General features: G+C 49.0%; 1 long non-coding RNA gene across 2 annotated transcripts, besides 2 other annotated features; it reads right to left on the bottom strand.

The window, feature by feature from the left end:
* Positions 1-1,413: 1,413 nt before the first annotated feature.
* On the bottom strand, positions 1,414-7,261 carry LOC105376740 (uncharacterized). 2 transcript variants are annotated; one of them, XR_946959.3, is made up of 4 exons: positions 7,164-7,261; positions 5,871-6,197; positions 2,909-3,055; positions 1,414-1,663 (listed from the first exon to the last, which is right to left on the bottom strand). It is a non-coding gene; the product is annotated as an uncharacterized LOC105376740 (long non-coding RNA). The 2 variants fall into 2 exon arrangements; XR_001737779.2 differs by lacking the exon at positions 1,414-1,663 and having other exon boundaries at positions 2,788-3,055.
* Positions 5,291-5,790: an enhancer, noted in NCBI's record as "H3K4me1 hESC enhancer chr1:11433217-11433716 (GRCh37/hg19 assembly coordinates)". NCBI's record gives its function as "activates a minimal SCP1, AML or CMV promoter by ChIP-STARR-seq in primed H9 embryonic stem cells {active_cell/tissue: H9 hESC(primed)}" and the evidence as "EXISTENCE:reporter gene assay evidence [ECO:0000049][PMID:30033119]".
* Positions 5,791-6,292: an enhancer, noted in NCBI's record as "H3K4me1 hESC enhancer chr1:11432715-11433216 (GRCh37/hg19 assembly coordinates)". NCBI's record gives its function as "activates a minimal SCP1, AML or CMV promoter by ChIP-STARR-seq in primed H9 embryonic stem cells {active_cell/tissue: H9 hESC(primed)}" and the evidence as "EXISTENCE:reporter gene assay evidence [ECO:0000049][PMID:30033119]".
* Positions 7,262-12,121: the final 4,860 nt, after the last annotated feature.

Here is a 12,121-nt window from a genome sequence, read left to right as displayed (position 1 = left end):
GGCCAGGCTGGTCTCCAACTCTTGACCTCAGGTGATCCACCCAGCTTGGTCTCCCAAAGTGCTGGGATGACAGGCACCCGCCACTATGCCCAGTTAATTTTTGTATTTTTAGTAGAGATGGGATTTAGCCATGTTGGCCAGGCTGGTCTCGAACTCCTGACCGCAGGTGATCTGCTTGCCTCGGCCTCCCAAAGTGTTGGGATTACAGGCGTGAGCCACCGCGCCCGGTCGCATCATAGGATTTTTAACAGCATCGCTGACCTCTACCTCCTGGGTACCAATAGCCATGCCATCCCCCTCCCCCACAATTATGACAACAGAAATGTCTTCAGGCATTCTTGGATGGTTTTTCGTTTGTTTAGTTGGTTTGGGTTGGGTTGCGTTTTTTTGTAGAGGCAGGATCTTGCTAGGTTGCCCAGGCTGGTCTTGAACTTCTGCCCTCAAATGATCCTCCCATCGTGGCCTCACAAAGTGCTGGAATTACAGAGGGGTGAGCCACTGTGCCTGGCCAGCAATCACTATCTGACTCCACAGTTTTTATAATGATTACTTCCCCCAAATCTCTCAAATGGCTGAGATATATCTGCCAATGCATTCCCTTCTGTGGATTTTCCATCCCAGTTCACCATGACTGAGAGTTTTAACAACTGCCCTGCTATAGCACAACAGACCCCTACCTCCCAGGGATGGGGGCCTCATTGCTGGACCCAGCAAGTAACGCAACTCAAAAATCCCATTGAAAAATCTGCTTCCCATGACCTCTTCCAATACTAACTGCCTTCCACCAGAACTCAGCGGTAGGGATTTCTGAAAAGGAGAAAAAGAGCAGAATTAGACAGAGGGAGAAATTGAACTGTGATGCGGTGGCTACAAAGGGCCCAGACAATACTGCAGGGAGCCCTGGGGCTCCGATGAACTTTCAGAGCTGTTTCAAATCAAAGAATCCTATTTGATTCTCAAAACAACTTTACAAGGATGGCACTATCATTATCCTCTATCTATAGACGAGGAAACTGAGCTCAGAGAGGTAAGTGACCTGCCCAGGATCACACAGCTTTGAGGGGTTGAGCTGGGATTTCCACCCAGGTCTTTCACTCTCTAAAGATTCCTTCTAGGCTGGGTGCGGTGGCTCACACCTGTCATCCCGGCACTCTGGAGGCTGAAGCAGCAGGATCCTTGAGGCCAGGATTGAGACCAGCCTGGGCAACATAGGGAGATGCTCACTCTACAGGGTATTTTTTAAATTAGCTAGATGTGGTGGCATGCACCTATAGTCCCAGCTACTCAAGAGGCTGAAGCCGGAGGATCACTTGAGCCCAGGAGTCGGAGGCTACAACGAACTGTAATTGTACCACTGCACTCCAGCCTGGGCAACAGTGCAGGACCCTGTCTTGAAATAATAATAATAATAATTTTAATAAAATAACAAATAAAGCTTCCTTCCAACTTGTCCTCCCCAGTCTCCTAGGGCCTCGGAGTTCTCTGTTGGATCCTCTTCATTCGGCTGGCAGAAAACAGGGCGGCAGACGGGATGTTGCGTAGGAGGTGTCACAGGCCAGGTGTGGGCACGCCAGTCATCACTTCTACCCACATTCCGCTGGCCAGAACTCAGCCAAGTGGCCCAAGGTCGCTGTCTACAAGGGAGGCTAGCAATGTAGTCTAGCTGTGTGCCCAGGAGCAAAGGAGAAATGATTTAGTCCAGTCTCAGCCCTGCCCTGAATATGGGAGTGCTGAGAGCCAGCAGAGCAGACAGAGCCCATCTGTTTCATTAATTTGCTGTTTGTTCTTGGGCTGGGGGTGGAGGAATGCCCACAGGAGCTAATTTAGTTGGCAGCAAAAGGGAGTGAGTTGGGAGGTACCCATGGGTTCTGGTTTATCAGCCCAGGCCCAGGGCACATAAGGAGCAGCCATCTCTGAGGAACACCGGGCCTGAAATCCAGGGGTTCAAGTGCACAGATGGACCTGGGAGGTGGAGGCTGCTATTACTCCGTGGAAGGGAGAAGTGAGGCCAGTTGGTGGGTTAGCGGGATTCACCTGCCCCGAGTGAGCCAGCGAGTCCTGAACAGCTCAGGAAAGAGGTCAGGGGTACCTGACAGCCTCCCTTCTTCTAGGAGTTCCTGTGAGGTGTGTGGAGCCAGGCCTCAGCTCACCCCACTGTAGGCTGCATCCAGATGAGGGGGGCCAGGGCTTCAAGAGCAAGCCAGCCATGCTCCCCTGCAGAACTGGGGTAGGAATGGAGTACTAATCTCCTCTCTGCCAGAGCCTCCAAGGCCTCCACCCTGGCATCCCATCTCTCTGTGCATGAAGAATCGTGATCCAATTTATTAAAGGCTCTGAAAAGTCATGCGGACAGGAATCTTGTTTCTCTTGGTTTAACCAGCATTTCCCAGCATTATTTCAAAATGTCAAAATTGGAAAATACTGGTAAGAGTCAAAAGAAGGCCAGGTGCAGTGGCTTACGCCTGTAATCCCAGCACTTTGGGAGGCCGAGGTGGGCAGATCACTTGAGGTCAGGAGTTCGAGACCAGGCTGGCCAACAAGGTGAAACCCCGTCTCTACTAAAAATACAAAAATTAGCCGGATGTGGTGGCACATGCCTGTAATCCTAGCTACTCGGGAGGCTGAGGCAGGATAATTCAACCCGGGAGGCAGAGGTTGCTGTGAGCTGAGATCGCGCCACTACACTCCAGCCTGGACAACAGAGTGAGACTCTGTCTCAAAAAAAAAAAAAAAAAAAAAAAAAAAGAATTAAAAGGAAAAAACCCAGATGTAAGCCTGAATGCCAACCTGAATGCTTGCAAGCTCTGTCCCCTTTGCCAATCTGAGCCTCCAGGAGATGGAGATAATAAAAGGAACTTGCTACCACATGGGACAAGCTTAGGGATTACACAGGATGATGTGTACGCACCTGCCACTTAGCTGGTGGTTTAGAAAATGCAACTCTTCTGCTTCCGCGCTAAGCTCATTCCCCAGGGAATACCCGGCCAACACACATCCATGTGATGTCATCAGAACTTTGCAAGCAGCCACCTTCCACGGATCAGGAGGTTCAATGCTACCAACAACAGGAAGGACCGAGATAGCTCAGAAGCGAGGCTGGAGCTTCTCTCCTCCTCATTATCTTGAAGTCAGAAGTGCAGCTGTCACTCGGCCCCAGCCCCAAGCCCTCTTAACCTGTTCCCATTTCCAGCCTCTTACCCACTTGTAAAGGTGCGGGCTGGAAGCTTGATTCCCTGGGCTCTCCTGGCTCAGGGCCCTGACCACGGCAGCCGCTGAAGATGGCCTGCTGACAGTTTGATTACCGGTGACCTTCAGAGCTGGCTTAGTTAGGAACATGATTTATAACCGAATTATAGGGAATTCTATTGCCGGAGGTCTGGGGGGCTGCAGCAGCCACCTTCCAAGGCAGTCTCCACGCCCCCAGCTGACTTCCCCCAGCAGGGAACAGGTGTATAAGGGGACCAAGAGAATCCAGACCAGCTAGGGGTAAATCAGAACTCTTGCTGTTACTGGCTGTGTGACTGGGCAAGGACCCCAGCTCCTCAGGCTCAGCTCCCTGATTTGCAAAATGGGCATGATCATATAGCCTGCCTCAAAGAGCCGGATGGGATCAAGTGAGATTATACCTAGAAAGTGCTGGCATGGGCCAAGTGCGGTGGCTCACGCCTGTAATCCCAGCACTTTGGAAGGCCAAGGTGGGCGGATCATGAGGTCAGGAGATCGAGACCATCCTGACCAACACGGTGAAACCCATCTCTATTAAAAATACAAAAATTAGCCGGGCATGGTGGTGCATGCCTGTAATCCGAGCTACTCAGGAGACTGAGGCAGGAGCATCACTTGAACCCAGGAGGTGGAGGTTGCAGTGAGTCAAGATCTCGCCACTGCACTCCAGCCTGGGCAACACAGCGGGACTCCATCTCAAAAAACAAAAAGAAAAAGAAAGTGCAGGCATGGATGGTACCTGGCATGGAGCAAAGTGGCGCCTGCATACTCAACCAGTGGGAGTCATTACTACCAGTAAAAGAAGCCGTGACAGGGACAGTCCATCTGCCCCAGAGCTCCTTGGATCAGCCCTGCTCCCTCCTTGTCCTCCCCAGATGGTGACTGATGGGCTTCTGGGAAAACAAACCAAAAAGGCCTTTGGTGGATTCCTCAAGCACAGAATCCATTCGGAGTGATCAGTACCTGGCCAAACTGCTTATGAGTTCTTTTGAATGTCACTCCTGTCCTGACCCGGGGGGACAATGAGTCAGTCCTGTGAACACTGCAGTTAGGTCAGGCAGAGGGAATTTGCACCCCTCGCCCCTCTGGGCAGTTCCAGAGTTCAAGCTTTTGTCTTAGGCCAAACGAAACAAGCCCAAGCAGGCGCTGAAACAGGCAGGTCACCGTGACCCCAATAATTGTCCTTGCCAGGGATAAAAAGTCTTTTGAACTAAGAGTAGCAGCAGCCCCAGGAGCTGAACAGGAAGGAGATTGCACCTGGCCAGAGAGCACTCCCACACACACCACACACCACACACCACACCACACACCACACACACCACACAACACACAAAACACCACACACACCCATCCACACACCACACACACCACACAACACACAACACACCACACCACATACCACTCACCACACCACACACACCCATCCACACAGCACACAACACACCACACAACACACCACACACACCCATCCACACACCACACAACACACAACACACCACACACATCACACACCACACACCACACCACACACCACTCACACCACACACACCCATCCACACAGCACACAACACACCACACAACACACCACACACACCACACACACACCACACACTACACCACACACATCACACACACCCATCCACACAGCACACAACACACCACACAACACACAACACACCACACACACCCACACACCACACACACCACACAACACACAACACACCACACACACCCATCCACATAGCACACAACACACCACACAACACACAAGACAGCACACACACCCATCCACACAACACACACAACACACAACACACCACACACATCCATCCACACACCACACCCATCCACACACACCACACACACCCATCCATACATACACACCACACCCATCCACACGCACACACTACACACACACCACTCACTCTACACACACCACTCACTCTACACACACCACACTCATTCACACACACACCACACACACATTCACACACATCCATCCACATGCACACCAGACTCATACACACACCACACACACATACACACACACATCCATCCACACACACACCCATCCACACACCACACACACACATCCATACACACCACACCCATACACACACACCACACTCATTCATACACACCACACACACACATCCACACACATTTCATACACACACACACATCCACACACACACCACACACTCCACGCACCCATCCACACACACGCATGCACAGGGGAGGAGCTGCTTGGCAGAGGCTTTGCCCCCTGCACCCTCTTCTCCAGAATCCTCCCATAACCTTCCCTGCTTGGGCCTCCCTTGTGGGTCTTTGGAATCCCAGATCTGGCTTGAAGCTGAGGGACTCTGCTTCCTCTGAAAACCCCACAGAGAGTGAGCAGGATAACAGGGAGACAATTCCTCCGTCAGTGTGGCCAGGGCCCACCCGCAGGTTGCCGATGCTACCTTCCCTCACCCACCCTGGACTCGGCTATTCAGAGCCCTTTCACATTCAAGTCTGGCCTGATCCCTGCAGCAGCCCTGCCAGGGAGGTATCAGCATCCATTCACAACGAGCCTGTTGAGGATCAGAAAATGCAACCGCCTGTGTCAGGATCACCCAGCAGGCAGGCCTGGGGCTGCTACTCACATCTGCTCCACTGACTCCCCGTCCAGTGCTCCTTCCAATCCTGCACTGTACACAGGGGGGCCTGTGGAGACAGCTCCAGCGTAGGAGAAGTCGAGCTCTGGGGAGGAGCCCAGGGACCATCGCTTGTCCCAGCCTTCAGGCAGCCTTGCCTGCCACGTTATTTAAAATCTTTGGAGACAGAGAAGGAGCCAGTGGAGGCCAAGGATGAATGCCTGGTTGGCCCTTCCAGAAAGATGAAGATTTCCAAGGTCCTGAGTGGGTTCCAATTCCTCTCTGCTCTTCTTCCAGCATGGTGTCACTTTGCCTTCCAAGACTCCATTTTCTCATCTGTAAAAAGGGATAATATATAAAGAGTGACCAAAAAAAAAAAAAAGACAACCAACCCTATTCAGATTGGTGGGAAGTGTAATTGAGCTATCACCAGGTCAGCTGCAGAAGAGCTGCTCAAGAAATAAAAGCTGTTATTAAACACATTCACAAAAGAGGGTTATTGCATGCTACCTATTTACATTGATCTTTTCTCAACCCAAAATGTAAGCATTCATTAACTGATGCCAAACAAAAATTAGCTGGGCATGGTGGCACGTGCCTGTAATCCCAGCTACTCAGGAGGCTGAGGTAGGAGAATTGCTTGAACCCGGGAGTTGGAGGTTGCAGTGAGCCAAGATCGCACCATTGCACTCCGGCCTGGTGATGAGAGCGAGACTCTGTCTCAAAAATAAAAATAAAACAAACCTGTAAATTTCATGTGGAACCAGATAGGGTGTGTGTAAATAAAGCAGTATACACATTCGTTACCGTGTCAATTTCCCTTTGACATATGTTTTCTTGCTGGGCACGATGGCTCACACCTATAATCCCAGCACTTTGGGAGGCCAAGTCCGGCAGATCTCTTAGCCCAGGAGTTTGAGAACAGCCTGGGCAACAGGTTGAACCCCCATCTCTACCAAAAAAAAAAAAAAAAATTAGCCGGGCATGGTGGTGCACACCAGTAGTCCCAACTACTTGGGAGGCTGAGGTGGGAAGATCGCTTGAGCCTGGGAGGCAGAGGTTGCAGTGAGCCAAGAGCATGCCACTGCACTCCAGCCTGGGTGACAGAGCCAGACCCCATCTCAAAAAAAAAAAAAAGAAAAAGTGGCCAGGCTCAGTGGCTCACGCCTATAATCCCAGCACTTTGGGAGACCAAAGTGAGCAGATCACCTGAGGTCAGGAGTTCAAGACCAGCCTGGCCAACATGGTGAAACCCCATCTCTACTAAAAATACAAAAATTATCCAGTCATGGTGATACACACCTGTAATCCCAGCTACTCGGGAGACTGAGGCAGGAGAATCACTTGAACCCGGGAGGCAGAGGTTGCAATGAGCCGAGATCATGCCACTGCACTCCAGCCTGGAAGACAGAGAGAGACTCTGTGTCAAAAAAAGAAAAAGAAAAAGAAAAAAAAAAGAAAAGAAATACATTTTCTTTACCGTGAGTTCAATAATGACAGGCTAGCTTAGCAGTCCTTTTATTTCTCCTAATTTGACCCTGGCACACCCAGCTACATCTGTCCCAGCCTCCTGTCCAGTCCCCAGCCCGCCCTCACAGGCAGCTGGTGCCCTCCGTTCCTGCCACATGATTCCTGCTCCGGAGAGGTTGAGGCCACTGGCTGTCACCCTGGATTTTATGCTGGATCCCAACCTCATCTCATGAAATCACATTAACAGCCTGGTTTTGAGCATTCCTTTGTGTCAGCCTCTTCTTTTTCTCTTCTTCCCCCTTTTCCTAACCTTTCTCCCAATCCCAAAGAAGATGTTCTTCCTTCTCACCCCACTCTTCATCTGTTTCCTTTGCCAGCTCCTCTTTTGTCACCATTCCTCTCCCCCCACCCCCTCAGGCTGACTCGGCCCTCCACACGCACTCAACGTTTTTATCTTTCAGAGACATCATCCGTCCACCTAGCTTTTTCAGCCTAGCAAAATCAAAAGAAACCTCCATTTTAAAGTTATAAGGAAAGAACTAGCTTCTGAGAGTGGAAGTGACTTCACCAAACGCACACAGCAAATTGATGGCAAAACATAGTTACCCATCAATTCCACCCGGTAATGAGCGGTGATTGCTTAAGAGGAATGGAGTTTCTGTCTGGTGATGAAAAAGTTCTGGAACTGGATGGTGGTGATGGCTGCACGACAGTGTGTATGTATTAAACGCCACTGAATTGTACACTTAAGAATGGTTAAAATGGTAAATTTTATGCTATGTATATTTTGTCACAATAAAATAAAATAAGCCAGGTGCAGTGGCTCACGCCTGTAATCCCAGCACTTTGGGAGACCGAGGAGGGCAGATCACAAGGTCAGGAGATCGAGACCATCCTGGCTAACACGGTGAAACCCCGTCTCTTCTAAAAATACAAAAAATTAGCTGGGCATGGTGGCGTGCGCCTGTAGTCCCAGCTACTCGGGAGGCTGAGGCAGGAGAATGGTGTGAACCCGGGAGGCGGAGCTTGCAGTGAGCCGAGATTGAGCCACTGCACTCCAGCCTGGGCGACAGAGTGAGACTCCATCTCAAAATAAATAAATAAATAAATAAAATAAAATAAATAGCTAGATGACAGCGATGCGTCTACTGATCTTCCGGTAGTTAGACCCACGCCACCTCCTTCCCAGTCCAGAGCTCTGAAATGCACACTCCAGTCATTTGCTGTTGAATCCCGATCCTCATGTCCAGACCTCAGCAGCTACAGTCTTCCACTGAATCATCCACAACCCCAACAACAATGACCATGTATTGAGCAATTCCTCTGCCCTGGGCCAGATGCGGTGCTCGGGGCATTCCGGGCAACCTCTTGCTTAAATTTGGATGCCCCTCTGGCGCAGCCCTCTCTCCTTCGCACCTCCTACTTTTTCGGTAGGCTCATGTCGTCTTTCTTTTCAATATCTGCCCTACTGGCTTCTTCCCTTTGCTGCCAACGACCCCCGCCTCTGCCCCAGCTCACATAAATTCTGCTACAGCCACCCAGTTCCTTCTCCACTTCTGTCTGCCTCCTGCTCTGGGCACCCTACTCAGAGCAATCAGCAAGTCTCAGAGCTGGACAGGACTTTTGCCGGGCACCCTTTTCCGAAGTATAAATACTCTTTACACAACCTAAAAAAAGTGCCTGTGGTGTCAGCTCAGACACATCCAGGAACCTGCAACTGACCGCTCCCCATGCCCTGCAAGTAAAGGCCAAGCTCCTTAGCATGATGTTTGGGGATCAGATGCCTGTCCGCTCCTCCACCCGCCCTCCAGACAGATAACATGCCTTATTGCTGTGTTCCCAATATGTAGCCAGGGCTGGCATTTAACAACTAACTCTGTTTTATTCAACAAGCAGTTATGGACTGCTACTGATGGATATACTGTGGGAACAAAAACGATACAGTCCCTGCCCTCCTAGAGCATAAACTCTAACCAGAGGGCAGATCCACCAGCATAGAAATAGATTCCTAGACATGACAACCATTGATAAATGCTAAGAAGAAAAAGATGGGGATGTTATGAGAGAAATTAATGGGGGAAACTACTTCGTGTAAATGTTTGATGAACTAACAAGCCGAAGAATGAATTCATTAAATCACTGGATCAATGAATGGTGAAGAACTCTGCTCATACAAGAACCAGTTGTAAGCATGAACGCTGGAGCCAGACTGCCTGGGTTTGTGTCCTGGATATAGCACTCACCAGCTGTGTGACCTTGGGCAAGTCACTTAACCTCTCCATGCCTAAACTGCCTCGCTGATAAAGTGTGGGATAACAATAGTATCTCAACTCATAGATTATTAGTCAGTTTTTGGGTGTTTTTTTTTTTTTTTTGAGATGGAGTTTCGCTCTTGTTGCCCAGGCTGGAGTGCAATGGCGTGATCTCGGCTCACTGTAACCTCCACCTCCCAGGTTCAAGTGATTCTCCTGCCTCAGCCTCCTGAGTAGCTGGGATTACAGGTGCATGCCACCATGTCCGGATAATTTTTGTATTTTTAGTAGAGGTGGGGTTTCATCATATTGGTCAGGCTGGTGTCGAACTCCTGACCTCAGGTCATCTGCCCACCTCGGCCTCCCAAAGTGCTGGGATTACAGGTGTGAGCCACCGCGCCCGGCTTTCGGGTTTCTTTTTTTTAATCCATAACAAACAATCTCAAAATCTCAGTGGCTTATAACCTCTGTATTCATTTTCTTTCTCATGGATCTGTGGATCAGCTGTGCCTCTCCAGGGTCTGGCCAGGATCGGACTGGGCCTGGTCCAGTCTTGGCTCCAGGCCACAAGTTGGGTTCAAGGCCACAAGTTGGGTCTCTCTTTCTCACAGAGAATCACAGAATTCTCATAGGAGGGTGAGTCAAATCTACCAAGCACATTAAAATCTTTGCAAGCATCATGCCTCCTAACATATCATTGGCCAAAACAAGTTGCATGGTCAAACCCAATATCAGTAGGGGTGTGTATTAATCTACTTGGGCTGTCATGACAGAACACCACAGACTAGGTGGCTTAAATAACAGAAATTTATTTACAGTTCTGGAGGCTGGATGTCTGCAATCAAGGTGCTGTCAAAGTTGGTTTTCAGTGAGGGCTCTCTTCCTGGCTTGCAGACGGCCACCTTCTTTCTGTGCCTACATATGGCCTTTCCTCTGTGTACATCCACCCCTGGTGTCTCTTCCTTTTCTTAGAGGATTAGGCCCCCACCCTTATGACCTCATTTAATCTTAATTATGGACCCAATTTAGTCCATAGCAGGTGGGGAAATATACTCTCCCTACTCTAAAGGGAGCTCCTGCCAAGTCACATGGCAGAGGGTATAGGTATAGAATTCTATACCAGGGAGTAAAGAAATGGCAGCAGTAATCTCATCTGCCACAGGTTGTTATAAGGAATAAAAACATTCACTCTGTTTTTGTTGTTGTTGTTGTTGTTTGTTTTGTTTTGTTTTTGATAGAGTCTTACTTTGTTGCCCAGGCTGGAGTGCAGTGGCTCAACCTCGGCTGACTGCAACCTCCGCCTCCCGGCTTCAAACAATTCTCGTGCCTCAGTCTCCTGAGATCCCAGTCTCTCCTAGGATTATAGGCATGTGCCACCACGCCCAGCTAACTTTTTGTATTTTTAGCAGAGACGGGGTTTCAACACATTGCCCAGGCTGGTCTCAAACTCCCGACCACAGGTGATTCACGCACCTCATTCTCCCAAAGTGCTGGGATTACAGGTGTGAGCCACTGCATCTAGCCAAAAACATTCACTCGTGTAAAGTGTGTAGAACACTGCTTGGATTTAGTAAAGTCTACACAGGTTTGGCTATTTGTTATTTTGTAGCTTAGCTAAAATACATACCATGTGATGGTTTCACAGAAATATACACAGTCAAACATATCAAAATGTATACTTTATATGTGTGCAATTCAATGCATGTTGATGATACCTCAATAAAGTTGTTTTATAGACAGAAGAGAGATGTATTTATTTATTTAAAAATCAAGGCCTTGCTCCTATTTTATGAAACTGGGCAAAAAGAAAAAAAAAAATCAAGACCCCTAAATGCAATGTGGCAGCCTGGATTTGATCCCGCATCTGAAAAAGGACGTTAGTGGAAAACCTGTTGAAACATGAATAAAGTCTGAAGTTTTATTAATAGCACCGTAGGAACGCTAATTCCTTACTTTACTAAGATATTGCCATTAAAGGAAGCTGGATGAAGGGTGTACAGGAACTCTGTACTATCTTGGCAACTTTTCTGTAAATCGAAAATGATTCCCCTCAAAAACGTAAAAACGAAGAATCCCCCCACCCCTCCATGGTCCCCCCCACTGCCTCCCACAGGGTGAGGAGCTGTTGGCTTCTGGACCTTGCCTTCATGTCCTCCGGCCTGAGAGCTAACTGCCAAGCTCGGATGTCAGATCTAAAGTAATAAACACATGATACCATTCTAATGAAAATGAGAGGCTTGGCTGAAATGAAAAGGCCAAAATCACCCGGGCTTTTGCAGGCCTCAGGCTGCTTTCCTGATGGCCTAGAGTCACTGGTGGTCACCAAGCCTCCTGTGGCCACTGAGCACTTAAAATGTAGCTGGTCCCAACTGAGATATTCTATAAGAGCCAAGGTTTTGTACAAAAAATAGAATGTAAACTATCTCAGTAAGTTCTTATATTGATTATTGGATTAAATAAAATGTATCATTAAAATCAATTAGGCTGGGTATGGTGGCTCATACCTGTAATCCCAGCACTTTGGGAGGCTGAGGATAG

This window comes from Homo sapiens, chromosome 1, assembly GCF_000001405.40.
Source record: "Homo sapiens chromosome 1, GRCh38.p14 Primary Assembly".
NCBI classification, from domain to species: Eukaryota; Metazoa; Chordata; class Mammalia; order Primates; family Hominidae; genus Homo; species Homo sapiens.
The sequence above is the reverse complement of the archived record's forward strand: the minus strand, read 5'-3'. Positions and strand labels throughout refer to the sequence as shown.